Source organism: Homo sapiens, chromosome 12, assembly GCF_000001405.40.
Source record: "Homo sapiens chromosome 12, GRCh38.p14 Primary Assembly".
Classification (NCBI taxonomy): Eukaryota; Metazoa; Chordata; class Mammalia; order Primates; family Hominidae; genus Homo; species Homo sapiens.
The window spans coordinates 84,035,084-84,055,796 of record NC_000012.12 but is presented as its reverse complement, the minus strand read 5'-3'; the positions used below and the strand labels follow the sequence as shown (position 1 = coordinate 84,055,796).

The 20,713-nt window shown below is 35.2% G+C and overlaps 1 long non-coding RNA gene across 2 annotated transcripts in view, besides 1 other annotated feature; it reads left to right on the top strand.

Annotated features, from left to right (window-relative positions):
• The window catches only part of LOC107984536 (uncharacterized), a 297,729-nt gene that overhangs the window by 130,780 nt on the left and 146,236 nt on the right, over positions 1-20,713 (top strand). The window lies entirely within an intron of this gene.
• Positions 12,618-12,808: a silencer, noted in NCBI's record as "fragment chr12:84436768-84436958 (GRCh37/hg19 assembly coordinates)". NCBI's record gives its function as "represses an EF-1alpha promoter that drives an FKBP-Casp9 reporter gene in an ReSE screen in HepG2 liver carcinoma cells {active_cell/tissue: HepG2}" and the evidence as "EXISTENCE:reporter gene assay evidence [ECO:0000049][PMID:32094911]".

Genomic DNA, 20,713 nt, shown 5'->3' with positions numbered 1-20,713 from the left:
AGACAGGGTTTCACCATGTTGGCGAACTCCTGACCTCAGGTAATCCACCCGCCTCAGCCTCCCAAAGTGCTGGGATTACAGGTGTGAGCCACCTTGCCCAGCCAAAAGGCCCTTGATTTGTTAACCATTGAAACCAAACTTATAAGATAACAGAAATACATCATATTAGCATAATACAGGATAAAAATTACGTGATCATCTTAATAGGTGCAGAAAATACTTGAGATAAAAATTAATACACTTTCATGATAAAAATTCTCAACATACTGGGAATAAAAGGATGACCTTCAAAATAATGAAAACCATATATGCCAAACCCACAGCTAACATACTCAATGGTTGTATTAGTTCATTTTCACATTGCTATAAAGAAATACCCGAGGCTGGGTAATTTATAAAGGATAAAGTTTTGACACCTAGTTCCACATGGCTAGGGAGGACTCAGGAAACTTACAATCACGGTGGAAGGTGAAGGGGAAACAAAGACCTTCTTATCAAGGCAGCAGGAAAGAAAAGAGTAAATGAAGAACTTCTAAACATTTATAAAACCATCAGATCTTTTGAGAACTCACTATCATGAGATCTGATGAGAACATCAACTCACAACAACATCATTGAGGAAACTGCCCCATGATCCATTTACCTCCCTCCCTTGACACGAAGGGATTATAAATTATAATTCCAGATGAGATTTAGCTGGGGACACATTGCCAAACCACATCAATCAAGAAAAACTAAAAGCTTGTCTTCTAAGATCAGGAAAAAGACAAAAATTGCCACTCTCGTCACTTTTATTTAATATAGTTCTGGAAGTTCTAGCCAGAACAATAAGGCAAGAAAAAGAAATAAAATGATCTAAACAATAAGTAAGTAGTAGAATTGCCTCTGTTTGCAGATGACATTTTCTTAATATATAAAAAACACTAAATATTACACCAAAAACTATTTAAGCTAATAAACAAATTCAGTAAGGTTCCAGGATACAGAGTCAACATAAAAAGAAACAGTTGTATAGAAACAAACGTCAAACTATTAAAAAAACAAATTATGAAAACAATCCCATTAACAATAGCATCAAAAAGTTAAAATATAAATATAAATATAGCAAAGAATTTGAAAGATTTGGATACCGTAAACAATAAAAATTGATGAAGGAAGTTGATGCCACAAATTAATAGAAAGATATATCATATTTATGGATTAGAATAATTAATCTTATTTTATTTATACTTCTCAAAGCAGTATACATATCCAGTGCACTTCCTATCAAACTCCCAATGGCGTTTTTCACAAAAATAGGAAAAGAAAAGCTAAAACTCATATAAAATTACTAAGAGCCCAGAATAGCTGAAGCAATATAGAGAAAAAACAAACAAACAACAAAAAACAAAGCTGGAGTTGTCACACTATTTGGTTGCAAAATCTACTTCAAAGTTTTACTAATAAAAACAGTATGGCACTGTCATAAAACAGACATATAGAACAATAACAAAATAAAGGTATCATAAATAAATCCACACATTTACAGTCAATTGATAATTTGACAAAGTTCCAAGAACACACAATAGAAAAATATGAATGCTTTTAAGAAAACTGTATGTCTACATGCAGAAGAATGAAACTGGATGCTTATCTCAGACCACATACAAAAAGCAATCCAAAATAAAAGGCTTGAATATAAGACCTGCAGCTATAAAACTACCAGAAAAAAACACATTAAAAAAATACTTCTTGACATTGATCTTGGAAATATTATTTTGGTTATGACCCCCAAAACACAGGCAACAAAACGAAAAAGTAGACAAATTGGATTCCATCAAACTAAACATCTGCACAGCAAAGAATACATTAACAGAGTGAAGAGAAAACCAATGGAATGGGAGAACATATTTGCAAGTCATATATACAACAAGGAGTTAATATCCAAAATATACAAGAAACTTGGCCAGGAGCAGTGGCTCATGCCTGTAATCCCAGATACTCAGGAGGCTGAGGCAGAAGAATTGCTTGAGCCCTGGAGATGGAGGTTGCAGTGAGTTGAGATCATGCCACTGCACTCCAGCCTGGCCAACAGAGCAAGACTGTGAAGGAAGAAAGAAAGAGAGAAAGAAAGAGAAAGAGAGGAAAAAGAGGAAAGAGTGGAAAGAAGGAAAGAGAGGAAAGAAGGAAGGAAAGGAAGGAAAGAAAGAAAGGAAGGAAAGAATGGAAGGAAAGAAAGAAAGGAAGGAAGGAAAGAAAAGAAGAAAAGAAAGGAAGAAAAAGAAAGAAAGAAACTTAGCTCAATAGCAAGAAAACAAATAGCCCAGTTAAAAAAAAAATGAACAAAAGACCTGAGTGGACATTTCTCAAAAGAAGGAAGACAAATGGCAACAGGTATATGAAAAAAATGTTCAACCTCACTTATAATCAGTGAAATGCAAATCAAAATCACACTATCACTTCACATTTTTTATAATGGCTATCATCAAAAAGATAAAAGATAAAAAGTGTTGGAAACAACCTAAGTGTCCATCAACAGATGAATAGATGAAGACAATGTGGTAGTTACGCACAGTAGAGTACCATTCAGCCATAAAAAAGAATGAGTCTGTCATTTGCAAAAACTCAAGTGGAATGAAACATAAATGAAACTAGAGGTCATTATGTTAAGTGAAATAAGCCATGCACAGAAAAAACATCGCATGTTTTCACTTATCTGTGGAATCTAAAAAGTCAAAATAATTGAACTCATTGAGATAGAGAATAGAAGGATGGTTACCAGAAACTGGGAAGTGTAGTGGGGGTCGGGGGAGAGGTGTGGATGGTTAATGAGTACAGAAAAATTTAGAAGAAATGAACAGGACAATATTTGCTGGTACAGCAGGGTGGCTATAATTAATAATAATTTATTTGTACATTAAAAAATAACTAAAGGAATGTAATTGGATTGTTTGTAACACAAAGAATAAATGCATCGGGGGCTGGATACCCCATTCTCCATGATGTGATTATTACACATTTTGTGTCTCTACCATAATATCTCATGTACCCCATGAATATATGTAACTACTATGTACATACAAAAAACAAAAAAAAAAATAAAAAGAAAAGAAAAAATAAAAAGAGAGTAGTGTTGGTGAGAATGTGCGGAAAAGGGAAATCTGTATATTATTGGTAGGGATGCAAATTGATACAGCCATTGTTAAAAATAGTATGGAAGTTCTTCAAAAATTTAAAAATAGAACAACCATATGACCCAACAATCTTACTTCCAGGTATACACCCAAAGGAAATGACATTAGTATCTTGAAGAGATATCTACATCCCAATATTCACTGCAGTATTATTCACAATAGCCAAGATACAGAATCAAGCTAATTGATGGATCAATGGATTAAAAAATATGGTGATGTAAATATACAATGAAATATGCTTCTAAAATATTTTCTTCTGAAGAAGCAGAAAATTGGCAGGGCCTGGTTCCTCATGCCTGTAATCCCAGTACTTTGGGAAGCCCAGACAGGTGGATCATTTGAGGTCAGGAGTTTGAGACCAGCCTAACCAACATGGTGAAACCCCATCTCTACTAAAAATACAAAAATTAGCTGGATGGTGGTAGCATGTGCCTATAATCCCAGCTACTCAGGAGGCTGAGGCAGGAGAATCGCTTGAGCCTGGGAGGCGAAGGTTGCGGTGAGCTGAGATTTAGCCACTGCACTCCAGTCTGGGAGACAGAGTGAGACCCTGTCCCCCCAACTCCAAAAAAAAGGCAGAAAATTATGTCATTTGTGACAACATGAATGAATGTGGAGGACATTATGCTAAGTGAAATAAGCCAAGCACAGAAAGACAAATACTATATGATCTCATTAAATGTGGAATCTAATAAAGTCTAAATAATAGAAGCAGATAATAGGAAGGTGGTTACCAGGGTTGGCCTTTGTTGCTCAAACATGTTGATCAAAGAGTACAAAGTTTCAATTTAAAGGAAGCAGATCTAATGTACAGCATGGTGGCTAGAGTCAGTAAGCTGTATTGTACACTTGAAATTTGCTAAGAGAGCTTAAATGTTCTCAGCGTATGCAAGACAGTAACGATGTGAGGGGATGGCTATATTAATTAGTGTTATAGTGGTAATCAATTCATATGTTTATCAAAACATCACCTCGTACACTTTAAATATATATAATTATTTGTCAATTATACCTCTATAAAGTTGAGTAAAATAAATAGCAGAAAATAATCACGTAACTAAAAACATAATGATTTATTTTTCTTATATCACTGATACATTTAATAATTTTTTTGCTGTATAGCACACTGAGTAAAATGTTAATTAAAATTATGTTGTTTGCACAAATGTTGAAAACATGTGCAGAGGTACCTCATTTTATTTGAGCCAAGTTCTAAAATGAATATGTATGACACATATAGTCAAAATCTCCTTTTATAATTTTGTAAATTGCCTGTATATGTTCTTAATCTGTTGAATTACATCTATATAAATAAATAACATATAAATCTGTCATATTTACCAGAATACATTTCAAATTCTAAGAGTTTTATATATATGTATATATGTGTATGTACATATATATATTTATATATGCAAGTGATCACATATAGTTGAATTTAGTTAAAGAACCATGTATGGGAACGCCCATGTTCAGATACACAGCATTCATCATCTGTAATCCTCAGATTGTTTCCTATAAATTTTATAAATCACTCACCTCTGGATATGATTTAATAAGATAATGTAAAACTTAGTAAAATCAAAACAGTTATAATGTAAATGTTGCTAGTCATATTCTGAAATAATAAAAAGTGTTTAGTAGCTAATTTTATACAAATAATAACTTTAAATCTTTAATTATATAATGATTGGTTCTTATCACCAAATTCTTACAGCTGATCACCAAGCTTACAGTGTTTCCACAGATGTCTCTTGGTAATTAGTAAAGCCTTTTCACAGAAACAAGAAAAATAAATTTTATATTTAAAATTAAAGTATTTTAATAAGACCATACTTGTAATTTCACTGAGGCTACTTTAATAATAATAAGGTAGCTGCTTAATGTGCTTAAAGAGTTACTTAAATAAGTCTACATACTTTAAGGTATTTGCTCTGGCAAAATTAATTTAAAAACCTATATTCTAAAAGGTTGTAAAATTTGCATTATTATACATTAAAAACATAAGTTCTGATTTAATTATGTAATGCTGTTAAACTTTAAAAAGCAGATTTACCATGTTAATAACCAAGTCTCTTTATAACCTATTACTCTGAACAGCCACATAAATCATACACTTGCAACTTGGCACCTTTGAGGACCTCTCCCAACCCAAATACTGTTACACAAATAGTGTCCCATAAAGATTTAAAAACTCATAAAGATTTAAAATTCAGCTGGTGGTCCTTGCATCTGCTGTTGGCACACCATTCCCTTTTCATTAAAGTCGTAACCAAGATAATTCATACAATGACTAGTAAGAAACATTTGTGTGTGAAGTCCTTACAATATGTCAGGCACTGTGCTAGGAGCACTTTACACATATCCTTTTTATCTTTAAAAAATCCTTAGAGGTAGTAAACCTGTTCTAGTTCTACAGATGCCTGGAATAGAGGTAACTTATTTAAACACAAGAGGCTAAGAAGGAGCCTCAAATTCTGCTTAGGTTAGTTTCTAATGTTTCTGCAATTAAGAATAATAACAGCTGGTCAAAGGATACACAGTTTTAGTTAGGAAGAATAAATTTGAGATCTATTGTACAGCATGGAAACTGTAGTTAATAACATACATTGTATAGTTGAAAATTGCCAAGAGAATAGATTTTAAGTGTTTTCACCAAACACAGAAAAATAAGTATGTAAATTAGTGCATATTATTTATCATATTATTTTGTATAAATTAGTTTTTATTCTCAAAACAAATACAACCAACAAAATCTCTTCTACTTTTCTATTTGATATACACTATCAAATATGTTTTTTTATAGTTGAAATCACACTTAATTGGCAATGGAAATTTTAATGAAAATTCAATAAATATTTATTGAGTTTCTAGTACAGCAAGGTATTTTGCCAGGTCCTGAGGGGAATTTGCTTGACTTAGCTGTTCTTTAATGTATACACATTTTAAAACATCATGTTGCCTACCATAATATATATTCAATTTTATTTTTCAGTTAAAAAATATGAATTAATTAATTAATTAAAAAAATAATATCAGCAAAAGTGATTCAGTGCCAGGCAGCAGGCTGTGTTTTTTACACACTTTATGCTATTTACTTATCCCAATAACCCTAAAATATGAGTGTTATTATTATCTTTATTTTACATAGAAATAAACTGGAGCTTAGGAAGCTTACATAAATTTCCCAAGCTCATACAGATAGAACACAGAAGAGTGAGAGCTCTGTTAAGCAATCTCAAGCAAAAACACAACCAGTGGGTCTACCACCTAAGAAGTAGCACAGCTTCATGGATAACTGAGGAGGCTACAACTATATGGACCCTAATTATAGGAGGAAAACAGCCAAATAATTCTTACTGCTGTGTGTCCAGAAGAGTACCTCATTCCTCATATTAAATGGGAATGGGAAGTATTTATTCCTGAAAAGATTGCTGTGACATTTAAGTAAGAAATTTATTTAAATTATTCATCGCCATCTCTGTGGATGTCTCACCCTACCCTATCTACCGGCAGAGGAGTAATAAAAACTCGTGCTTCATCATAGAGAAGTATTCACTCAAAGTTGTTGTCTTAGGCTTTGTTACAGGTTTCTCCCTAAACAGACAGAGCTTAGAGTCAGATAACTGGTTAGAAGGCATAAGTGCAATAGGGACATACACAAAAAAAGGAATAATATAACAAAACCACTATATACCAAGAATGTAAGTCATCATAATAAAATGCCAACCATCAAGCTTTAGAATTGAATTAGAAACTTTACTAATGAATGTAACTCAAATAATACCTCAATTGTATTTTATAATTAGAAAATGAGTTTATTTAGTAATGTCACTTTGTAAGTGTAATTGAAAAGTGAACTTATCAGTTTATTAATTCATATGACAATTCTCCATTATAAATTGACTATACAAAGCAGGTCACAGAATTGCAGGCAACAATGAACTGGGTTTCTGAGATAAGAAATATTAATTATTGTTTTTCATAGCCTACTATATTTCAAAAATATTTAACATTTAAGCCCTCTTTAAAACTGTGTAAAATGAAGCAAGATGACATAAATTATTTGTTTATGAAAAAAATCTTTAAAATATTTTATAATTTTATATAATTTTATATATTTGAGACCATACTTCTTTTCCTAAGGGGTTAATTAATCCTTTACTGAAAATGACCCACTCTATGTTGGGCAACAGTTATCATAAAAATTTGTTTATCATATTATGTTGGTGAAGTACATTTTTCTACTCAAAAAAAATTGCAACAATAAACAAAACTACTTCTGCATTTTGTTTGATATGCACTATACATTTTCTGTTTTACAGTTGAAACCACACTTTCATGGCAATAGGAATTTCAATGATAATTCAATAAATATGTATTGAGTTTCTACAACAGCAAGATATTTTGCCAGGTCCTGAGGGGCTAGAAATATGAATGAGGTTTGGTTTGTGATTTCTAAGATATTACCATTTTATTTGGCTGGAATATATGTCATATGATAAAATGGAATAGAAAATTAGATCGTAAGAGAGGCCAAACCATGACAGTTCTTCCATATTGTGATTACAATTTTGGATTTAACTATACCATCAGGAGATTTTATCATAAGAAAAAAACAGTTTGAATTTAGATATACTTCCATCTGCTTAGCAGTGAGATGTTGATAAAGTCACTCTAGGCTACTGTAAGATTATGTCACTCTAAGCCTTAGCTCAAAATGGGGATAACAATCACTGTCTTTCAGTTATTTGACACCACTGTTCTCCCTCTTTCCCTTGGAACTTTATATATTTCTAATATGTGGTATTTCTTCATTTATTAGCTTTATTAATTCCTACTTTTTCTTTAGATGTCAACTAAATGTTCACCTATTCAGGAAATTCATCCATTACATTACATACATAATGTAGCAGTTCACCTTTTACCTTTTAAAATTTCACAGTACTCTGTACTTTTCCTTACTTTGAAATTATGTTTCTTTAATTTATATCAGAATATCCATTTTCTTAATGAAATCTGTACTCACCAGAGAGGCTGAAGCAACTTTCATTTGACTTACCATTTCACTTTCAATGCTTAGAGTAGTGACTGCATGTAGTAGATACACAAATATATTTGCAAAATAAAAAATAATAATAATTACTTGGAGCCACATGAGAAATAAACGTTTTTTTTTTCAAATTTGAATATTTGCATTGAAGAATAGTAGAGTTTATTAGAAAGATATTTCTCAGGAACCATCCTTGTATACCAGGAGTGAACCCCACTTAATTCTATTATGTAATCTTTTGAATGTGCTGCATAGCAAAAGAAATAATCAACAGAGTAAACAAAATGTGCAGAACAGGAGAAAACATTTGCAAACTGTGCATCTGACAAAAATCTAATATCTAGATTCCACAAGGACCTCCAACAACTCAATGAAAAAAACACAAATAAACTCCATTATAAAGTGGGCGAAGGTCACGAATAGACATTTTTCAAAAGAAGACATGGATGTGGTCAAAAAGCACATGAAAAAATGCTTAACATCACTAATCATCAGAGAAAGGCATATTAAAACCACAATAAGATACCATCTTACACCAGTCAGAATGGCTATTACTAATGAGTCAAAAGACAGCAGATGTCATCAAGAATAAAGAGAAAAGTAACCACTTAAACATTGTTGGTGGGAATATAAACTAGTACTTCTATGGAAAGCAGTATCAAGATTTCTCAAAGAACTAGAACTAAAAATACCATTTGATCCAGCAATCCCACCACGGGATATCTACCAAAGGGAAACAAAATCGTTACATAAAAAAGACACTTGCACTTGTGTGTTTATTGCAACACTATAGTAGCAAACTCATGGACCCAACCTGTGTCCATCAGTGGAGGACTGGATAAAGAAAAGATGGTGTGTATCCACACACACACACCATGGAATACTACTCAGCCATTAAAAAATATGAAATCAGAGTTTTTTTGTTTGTTTGTTTTGTTTCAACATGAATGGAACTGATGGCCATTATCTTAAGTGAAAAAACTCAAACAGTAAGTCAAATGCTGCATGTTCTCATGTATAAGTGAGAGCTAAACAATGGGTACACATGGACATACAAAGTTAAAAAGTAGTCATTGGAGCCTCCCAAAGGTGGATGAGAGGGTGGGAAGGTTGGAAAACTACCTACTGGGTACAGTGTTTACTATTTGGATGATGGGTACACTGAAAGCCCAGATGTCACCACTGTGCAGTGTATCCATGTAACAAAGCTGCACTTGTACCTCCTAAATACTGAAATAAAAAAACTTCAGAGAAAGAAATACATTTTTCATAAAAAGAACATAAATAAAATACAGAAATAATTGTGCAATAGATTTAACATTTCAAATATAGATTACATGCTGCTGATTAATGTCGTTATAATAACTGTGTGAAAACTCTTCAAATAGCCTGTCAAGAAAGCGACTGTGAGGCTGGGCATGGTGGCTCACACCTGTAATCCCAGCACTTTGGGAGGCCAGCGCAAGTAGATCACCTGAGGTCAGGAGTTCAAGAGCAGCCTAGGTAACATGGTGAAACCCTGTCTCTACTAAAAATACAAAAATTAGCTGGGCAAGGTGGTATGTGCTTGTAATCCAAGCTACTTGGGAGGCTGAAGCACAAGTATTGCTTGAACCTGGGAGGCAGAGATTGCAGTGAGCCGAGATCCAAGTTTGTGCCATTGCACTGCAGCCTTGTGACAGAGCGAGACTCTGTCAAAAACAAAAAACAAACAAACAAAAAAAAAACTGTGTATCAAGTTAATAAAAATATTTAAAAGCTCATGTCTTGCCGTAATAAGACCTACCAAAGGGATAATATTTTACCTCAGAGGGTAAATTGAGATAACTTTCTTGAACTATAATAACATAATAATAGCAACAATAATAAAAGAATATCCTAACATTCAGATTATAGTTTTCAGCTACTACAAATTGAATATTTCTTGGTGTCTGGCATGCAGGGTTTATTTTCTCAGATATAAGACATAGCTTTGAACTTGTCTATATATAGCAGTAAAAATAAGAAAAAAAGTTAAAGAATTAAGCAAAACATCAATTTGTTTTCTTCTGTGAATTGTTAGAGAGCAATTTTGTTACATTAGAATAAAATTTGAAAAGAAGATAACATGCCAAAAAGCTAAACTAGTAATAGAGAAGTGGAGTGTAATCCTGAATCCACATTTTAGAGTTAAAATCAACAGGGAAATAGAGTAACCTATTACACCTTGGATTTAAGTATATGAAATAACACTTGGGAACTATCCAAAACATTTTAGGAGGAAGTGAGGTGAGGAAATGAGAAAAACCATATTTTCTAAGATAATTACTCATAAATTCTTCCTATGAAATGTTGTTCTTCATTCAAACAAATTTCTCCCCTTGTTTTTAATAGATTGAATTGGATATTGGTCAGGAGAAATTTTTTTTAAATGACCGATAATTCTTTCTATACAAGGTCAGCCTTTTGGTGTTGGGGGTCATTTGAAAACACAACTTTAGAAAGTCCTTAACATAAATCTCTCTCAAAATCAATAAATCTAATGTGCCAAACTGAAGGTGTATCATTTCTCTGTGCATTTATTATCTGGTTTCTGGCATATCCAGGCACATAAATTTTAATCATAAAATTATCCCTGCAAATTTCAATCATCAGTATATATTATAATAAAAATCAATCCGATTGTTGGTAGGATTTATTTTATTCATGTCCTTTATTCATTAAAATATAATCAAAGATTGAATCTTCTTGAATTTCCAACCAAATATTTTACATGAAAACTATTTAAAAAAACTTGTTTTGACAGGTGACAGATAAGTTGAATATTAAAGCGATTTTAACATGATGATGCGACCCTAATTGCTTTTAAATCACTGCAAAATTATTATGGTTGGCTAATTTGTAATCAATTTCTTTGTGTCTACTTATATTGTTACCTAGCACCTTGCAGCCTCCAAGAATTTGGCATGCTCCTTTCTTTTACCATCACCTTGTATGCCATTGGTTTTCACCTCAGTTTTTTCATTTTTCCTCTATCTTTCTGACTGTGAAAGCTGCATAAATAAACTATTCTACAGGAATTTCCAGCTTAGAATGAAGATTCAGATGAGAATTCACAAAGAGAGGATGGCCAACAAGCCTAGACTCTTTCTTTAATTCTATTTCTAATATTCTCTTGTGGAATTCTGCCAGACTTTTTCTTACAAATCATCTATAACTAATGTTGGCAAGATTAAATACTAAATTAGTTTACTTGTATTTTTGGCTGCTGTTTTTTTATTGTTTTCTTCTGTCTTTTCCTGAGCCAGTTTGAAATTATTTTTTTCATCTGGTAAGAGCCCTAAAATAACTTTCAATATTTATTTCACTTAACTTCCAATGGTCTGGTTCTTGGTCTTATAGTTGAGGAAACACTTCCTGCTTTAGATTTTAAAAATTATTTTCCTTAAATTTATGTTAAATTGTCCTAAACTTGAAATCACTTCCTTTCCTGTCTCTTGGCTCTTTCTTGGCTCCTTCTGTCACCTCACTCGGGAAGTGCAAGGGGTTGGGGACTCCCTCCCATAGCCAAGGGAAGCTGTGAGGGACTTTGCCTGGAGGAACAGTGCATTCCAGCCCAGATACTACACTTTTCCCAAGGTCTTCGCATCCCACAGACCAGGAGATTCCCTCGGGTGCCTACACCACCAGGGCCCTGGGTTTCAAGCACAAAACTGGGTGGCCATTTGAGCAGACACCAAGCTAGCTGCAGGAGTTTTTGTTTTGTTTTGTTTTGTTTTGTTTTCTCATACCCCAGTGGTGACTGGAATGCCAGCGAGACAGAACCGTTGACTTCCCTGGAAATGGGTCTGAAGCCAGGGAGCCAAGTGGTCTAGCTCAGTGGATCCCACCCCCACGGAGCCCAGCAAGCTTAGATCCACTGGCTTGAAATTCTTGCTGCCAGCACAACAGACTGAAGTCAACCTGGGATACTCCAACTTGGTGTGGGGAGGTGTGTCCACCATTACTGAGGCTTGAGTAGGCAGCTTTCCCTTCACAGTGTAAACAAAGCCACTGAAGTTTGAACTGGGCGGTGCCCACCGCAGGTCAGCAAAGCCGCTGTAGCCAGACAGCCTCATTGGATTCCTCCTCTCTAAGCAGGGCATCTCTGAAAGAAAGGCAGCAGCCATAGTCATGGGCTTATAGATAAACCCCCCCATTTCCCTGGGACAGAGCACCTGGGGGAAAGGGTGGCTGTGGGCAGAGCTTCAGCAGACTTAAACGTCCCTGCCTGTAAGCTCTGAAGAGAGCAGCAGATCTCCCAGCACAGTGCTCAAGCTTTGCTAAAGGACAGACTGCCATCTCAAGTGGGTCCCTGATCTCCATCCCTCCTGACTCTGAGACACCTCCCAGCAGGGGTTGACAGACACCTCATACAGGAGAGCTCCAGCTGGCATCTGGCTGATGCCCCTCTGGAACAAGTCTTCCAGAGGAAGAAACAGGAAGCAATCTTTCCTGTTCTGCAGCCTCTGCTGGGAATACCCAGGCAAATAGGGTCTGGAGTGGACCTGCCGCAAACTCCAGCAGACCTGAAGCAGAGGGGCCTGACTGTTAGAAGGAAAACTAACAAACAGAAAGGAATAGCATCAACATCAACAAAAAGGATGTTCACACACGAACCCCAACCAAAAGTCACCAACATCAAACACCAAAGGTAGATAATTCCAGGAAGATAAGGAAAAACCAATGCAAAAAGGCTGAAAATTTCAAAAACCAGAATGCCTCTTCTCCTCCAAAGATCACAACTACTTACCAGCAAGGGAACAAAACTGGATGGAGAATGAGTTTGATGAATTGATAGAAGTAGGCTTCAGAAGGTGGGTAATAACAAACTCCTCCGAGCTAAAGGAGTATGTTCTAACCCAATGCAAGGAAGCTAAGAACATTGGAAAAGTTTAGAGGAATTGCTAACTAGAATAACCAGTTTAGAGAAGAACATAAATGACCTGTTGGAACTGAAAAACACAGCATGAGAACTTCGTGAAGCATACACGAGTATCAAGCTGAATCGACCAAGCAGAAGAAAGGATATCAGAGATTGAAGATCAACTTAATGAAATAAAGCATGAAGACAAGTTTGGAGAAAAAAGAATGAAAAGGAACGAACAAAGCCTCCAAGAAATATGGGACTATGTGAAAAAGACCAAACGTTTGACTGGTGTACCTGAAAGTGACGGGGAGAATGGAAGCAAGTTGGAAAACACTCTGCAGGATACTATGCAGGAGAAATTCCTGAAACCTAGCAAGAAAGGCCAACATTCAAATTCAGAAAATACAGAGAACACCAAAAAGATACTCCTCAAGAAGAGCAACCCCAAGATACATAATCGTCAGAGTCACCAAGGTCAAAATGAAGGAAAAAATGTTAAGGGCAGACAGAGAAAAAGGCTGGGTTACCCACAAAGGGAAGCCCATCAGACTAACAGCATATGTCTCTGCAGAAACCCTACAAGCCAGAGGAGAGTGGGGTCCAATGCTCAACATTCTTAAAGAAAAGCATTTTCAACACAGAATTTCATATCCAACCAAACTAAGCTTCATAAGCAAAGGAAAAATAAAATCCTTTACAGACACGCAAATGCTGAGAGGTTTTGTAACCACCAGGCCTGCCTTAGAAGAACTCCTGAAGGAAGCACTATATATGGAAAGGAAAAAATGGTATCAGCCACTGCAAAAATACACCAAATTGGAAAGATCATCTACACCATGGAGAAACTGCATCAACTAACGGGCAAAATAGCCAGCTAACATCATATTGACAGGATTAAATTCACACATAATAATATTAACCTTAAATGTAAATGGGCTAAATGCTCCAATTAAAAGACACAGACTGGCAAAATGGATAAAGAATCAAGAGTCATCAGTGTGCTGTATTCAGGAGACCCATCTCATGTGCAAACACACACACAAGCTCAAAATAACAAGATGGAGGAATATTTACCAAGCAAATAGAAAGCAAAAAAACAGCACGAGTTGCAATCCTAATCTCTGATAAAACAGACTTTAAACCAACAAAGATCAAAAGAGACAAAGAAGGGCATTACATAATAATAAAGGGATCAATGCAACAAGAAGAGCTAACTATCCTAAATATATATGTACCTAATACAGGAGCACCCAGATTTATAAAGCAAGTTTTTAGAGACCTACAAAGAGACTTAGACTCCTACACAATAATAGTGGGAGAATGTAACACTGTAATGTCAATATTAGACAGATCAACAAGACAGATTTTCAGGACTTGAACTCAGTTCTGGACCAAGCGGACCTAATAGACATCTACAGAACTCTCCACCCCAAATCAACAGAATGTACATTCTTCTCAGCACCACATCACACTTATTTTAAAATTGAACACATAATTGGAAGTAACACACTCCTCGGCAAATACAAAAGAATGGAAATCATACCCAATTGTCTCAGACCACAGTGCAACCAAATTAGAACTCAAGATTAAGAAACTCACTTAAAACCACACAACTACATGGAAACTGAACAACCATCTCCTGAATGACTACTGGGTAAATAACAAAATTAACGCAGAAATAAGTACATTCTTTGAAACCAATGAGAACAATGACACAATGTACCAGAATCTCTGGGACAGAGCTACAGCAGTGTTTAGAGGGAAATTTATAGCACTAAATTCCCACATCAGAAAGCTAGAAAGACCTCAAATTGACAGCCTAACATCACAATTAAAAGAACTAGAGAAGTAAGAGTAAACAAATTCAAAAGCTAGCAGAAGACAAGAAACAACTAAGATCAGAGCAGAACTGAAGGAGATAGAGAAACAAAAAAACCTTCAAAAAAATCAATGAATTTAGGAGCTGGTATTTTGAAAAAAGATTAACAAAATAGACCACTAGGAAGACTAATAAAGAAGAAAAGAGGGAAGAATCAAATAGACACAATAAAAAAATGATGAAGAGGTATCACCACTGATCCCACAGAAATATAAACTACCATCAGTGAATACTACTAACACCTCTATGCAAATAAATTAGAAAATCTAGAACAAATGGATAAATTCCTGGACACATACACCCTACAAAGACTAAATCAGGAAGAAATTGAATCCCTGAATAGACCAATAATAAGTTCTGAAAATGAGGCAGTAATTAATAACCTACCAACCAAAAGAAAGCCCAGGACCAGGCATATTCACAGCCGAATTCTTTCAGAGGTACAAAGAGGATCTGGTACCATTCCTTCTGAAACTATTCCAAACAATAGAAAAAGAGGTACTCCTCCCTAATTCATTTTATGAGGCCAGGATCATTCTGATAACAAAACCCAGCAGAGACATAACAAAAAAAGAAAATTTCAGACCAATATCACTGATGAGCATCAATGTGAAAATCCTCAATTAAATACTGGCAAACCGAATCCAGCAGCTTATCGAAAAAGCTTATCCACCATGATCAAGTTGGCTTCATCCCCGGGATGCAAGGCTGGTTCAAAATATGCAAACCAATAAACATAATACATAACATAAGCAAAACCAATGACAAAAACCACATGATTATCTCAATAGATGCAGAAAAGTCCTTTGATAAAATTCAACACCCCTTCATGCTAAAAACTCTCAATAAACTAGGTATTGATGGAACGTATCTCAAAATAATACGAACTATTTATGACAAACTGACAGCCAATATCATACTTAATGGGCAAAAGCTGGAAGCATTCCTTCTGAAAACCGGCACAAGACAAGGATGCTCTCTCTCACCACTCCTATTGAACATAGTATTGGAAGTTCTGGCCAGGTCAATCAGAAAAGAAAAAGAAATAAAGGCTATTCACATAAAAAGAGACGAAATCAAATCGTCTCTGTTTGCAGATGACATGATTGTATATTTAGAAAACCCCATTGTCTCAGCACAAAATCTTCAGAAGCTGATAAGCAACTTCAGCAAAATTTCAGGATGCAAAATCAAGGTGCAAAAATAACAAGCATTCCTATACACCAATAATAGAAAATCAGATAGCCAAATCATAAGTGAAATCCCATTCGCAATTGCTACAAAGAGAATAAAACACCTAGGAATACAACTTACAAGGGAAGTGAAGGACGTCTTCAAGGAGAACTACAAAACACTGTTCAAGGAAATAAGAGAGGACACAAACAAATGGAAAAACATTCCATGCTCATGGATAGGAAGAATCAATATCGTGAAAATGGCCATACTGCCCAAAGTAATTTATACATTCAATGCTATCCCTATCAAGCTACTGTTGACTTTCTTCACAGAATTAGAAAAAACTACTTTAAATTTCATGTGGAACCAAAAAAGAGCCTGCATAGCCAAGACAATCGTAAGCAAAAAGAACAAAGCTGGAGGCATCACCCCACCTGACTTCAAGCTATACTACAAGGCTACAGTAACCAAAACAGCAGGGTACTCGTACCAAAGCAGTTATGTAGACCAATGGAACAGAACAGAGGCCTCAGAAATCATGGCACATATCCACAACAATCTTATTTTGACAAACCTGACAAAAACAAGCAATGAGGAAAGGATTCCCTATTTAATAAATGATGTTGGGAAAACTGGCTAGCCATATGCAGAAAACTGAAACTGGACCCCTTCTTTATATCTTATACAAAAATTAACTCTGGATGGATTAAAGATTTAAATGTAAGACCTAAAACTTTAAAAACCCTAGAAGAAAGCCTAGCCAATACCATTCAGGACATAAGCATGGGCAAAGACTTCATGACTAAAACACCAAAAGCAATGGCAACAAAAGCCAAAATTGAAAAATGTGATCCAATTAAACCAAAGAGCTTCTGCACAGCAAAATAACTATCATCAGAGCGAACAGGCAACCGACAGAATGGGAGAAAATTTTTGCAATCTATCCATCTGACCAAGGGCTAATATCCAGAATCTACAAGGAACTTTGCCGGGTCTGACCCGCATACCCTGGCAGAATGAAGGATGAAGGAATGCACTCAGACACAAGTATCCAGTGAATGAGTGGGCTAGGAGACCGGACCGCTTACAGACTCTCAGGAGGTGCTGTAAAGAGTCAGCAGCCGCAGCCCTGACAAGCTTACCCTACGGGCATTTATTCAGCACAGATTGAATTAATGACAAAGGCTTTGAGTCAACACACTGTGGGCAATTCACATGGTCGCCACCACCCCCGCTGGCCCCCTGAGAGAGAGTGGTCGCAGATGATTAAAGGCCAGGTTTCTGGAGACATGAGTAAACAAGCTATTCAGATAAACTCCCTTTCATTCTTTTGTACCTACTTCTTGCCCTTTCCCCAGGGTAAGAACTGCTACCTTCAGCTCATTCTTCCCTGAAGCTTTGCAAAATCCCCTGGCCTTCCAAGAAGGTTTGTGTTTTTCCTACAATTTCTCCCACCACCCTGACCAATATACAGAAATTAACAAATTTACAATAATAAAAACAAACAACCCCATTAGGCAGGCAAACGTTATGAACAGACACTTCTCAAAAGAAGACATTTATGCTGCCAAGAAACATATGAAAATACGTTCACAATAGCAAAGTCTTAGAATCAACTCAAATGCCCATCAGTGATAGCCTGGATAAAGAAAATGTGGCAGATATACACCATGGAATACTATGAAGCCATAAAAAGGGATGAGTTCATGTCTTTTTTAGGGACATGGGTGATGCTGGAAACCATCATTCTCAGCAAACTAATGCAAGAACAGAAAACCAAACACCACATGTTCTCACATATAAGTATGAGTTGATCAATGAGAACACATGGACACAGAGAGGGGAGCATGACACACCTGGGCCTGTCAGGGACTGGGGGTCTAGGGGAGGAATAGCATTAGAAGAAATACCTAATGTAGATGACAGGTTGATTGGTGCAGCAAACCACCATGGCACGTGTATACCTATGTAACAAACATGCACATTCTGCACATATACCCCAGAACTTAAAGTATAATTAAAAAAAAAAGTCTTGTGAAAGTTGACTGCCAGTGCAGGCATAGCAAATAGGGAGAGAAAAAAAAAGAAAAGAAAAAAGAAAATGAAGTTTAAATCAAAATAAAAGAAGAAATATATATTGGAAACCCCAAATGCTGCGCACAAATTTTTCCAAATATTTGACTGATCTGTGAATTACAAATGTACTAAGCACATTTTGTGGAAATAAAATAACTGAATTTAGACTTAAGCTTCCGCCCAAGAGACAGAGTTTTTCCTTTGAGTATAGCCAAGAAATTGCATGCTAAGACAAATGGACCAACCAACATCAACAGTCTTCATAGAAGAATGTACAAAACAAAATTGAATTGAGAATCATTTTAACATAACGTTCATGGTGTACAGATTGAAACTTGGGATAAAAGAACCAGACAAATGTGACCCACAATTAAGGGAAAAGACAGTCAAAGGAAACCTCCATTTGTATTATCTCAAGAGATGAAGAGAAAAATGTGATTAAATTAACTTTTTTTTCATAATGAATATCCTCAGAAACATAACAATAGAAGGAAGCTTTTTCAATCTGATAAAGGGTATCTACAAAGCTACACTCGCAAAATAGTTAATGATGAAAAATGAACAAATTCCCCCTAACATGTGGAAAGCAGGAAAAAGTGGCTGATCATACTACTTCTTATCAACGTTTTCTGGAAGTAACAGTCATCACAAGAAGACAAGAGAAATAATAAAATGCATAAAGATTAGAGCATAAAAATAAAACCGTATCCATTTGCAGATAATAGTATTCTTCATATAGACAATTATAAGCAAGCTAGAAAAATGACTAGAACTAATCAATTTTTCAAAATCATGGGGTAGGAGGTTCACTTATAAAACTCAATTTTTATATACAAGTGTCATGATATTAAAAATATGTGTTAAATGTTCTACTTATAACATCACACAATGTAATATTCTTAGAAATATATATACCCAAAGCCATAAAAGATCTCTGAAAGGGGACAGTGGGGGTTTAATATAAGCTGGGTAGGGAATACATATGTGTTCATTTTATTGTGACTATTAAAACTGTGCATAGATCTTATAAGTATGTTTTATAGAAAGAATAAAATAAAGTATTTAGAGGACATACTTGGCATAAACCAAGTTGTTATTCCCTCTAGGTGAAATGCATTTAAGTACTATTTTGAATTAATATTTCATCAGGATTAGATTACTACCTTAGTAGTTTCAAAAGTGTGTATCTATATTCCAAGAAAGTTACTTAAATCTGCAACTTTCCACACTCATCTAAAATATTTTATTTCTTTTCTCACATGTAAATAAGTCAAATAATGTCACGTTGTTGCTCAAAACCCTTTAATGGATTTACATTTAATACAGATGAATATCTAAATTTTTTATGGCCAACAGTACGTGTTCTGTGCCTACGTGACCTGGCCTATGCCATCATTCCCTCCAGGCACTCCTCTAATCACCTAGGCCTTATTACCATTCTTTGAAAGAAACAAGTATTTTTACACTCATGCTCCTCTGTCTTCTTAGACTAGATATCTCTGTTTATAATTATGTTGTCACCCATTTTCAGATCTCCACTCAAATATCACTATCTCAAGGACACCTGCCTTTATCATTCTCTTTAAATGACACCTTCTTGAATGAAATAATGTCTTTTGCAGCAACTAGGATGGAGCTGGAAGCCATGATTCTAAGTGAAATAACTCAGGAATGGAAAACCGCATATTGTATGCTGTCAATTATAAACAGGAGATAAGTTGTGAGGACACAAACACATATAGAATAATATACTGAACTTCGAGGACTCGGTGGGGGAAGGGTGGGAGTGGAGTGAGGGATAAAAGACTATATATTGGGTACAGTGTACACTGCTTGGGTGACAGGCACACTAAATCTCAGAATTCACCTCTATAGAATTCATCCATTTAACCAAAAAATACTTGTACCCCCAAAAGCTATTAGAATTAAACAACTAATTAATTAATTTTTAAAATGGCACTTTCTCAGTCTTTACTGTCTAAATCTCTCTATTTTATATTAAAATTTTTAGGGTAATAAAATGTATACCCTAAAAAACATTTTTAAAACATTACCTACTCCCCTAATAGAATATAAGCAGAGCCCTATGGATGCACAGATATTGTGTTGTTTGTTGCTACGTCTTTAGTGCCTAAGATCTTTAACATTCATGGTTTACTATCAATAAACAGATATTGAGAGAATGAGTAAGGGCAGTTTACATTTTTATAGAATCTGCAATTAATTTTCTTTTTAAAAATGGATTTAAAATCGTTAATCTCAAATCAAGTTTAATGCATAGATTAAGTCACACTCAGCCCTGTGAAAGACCAAGCATGTAATGCCCTAGATTGCTAGCTCAGTTCACCTACACAGCATCTCTTTCATGATTCTCATTACTTTCACCCTTAGGCATGTGTGTATGCGCACACACACACACACACACACACACAGGTTTTCACAATCTGTCATTAGACTTTTACTATGTG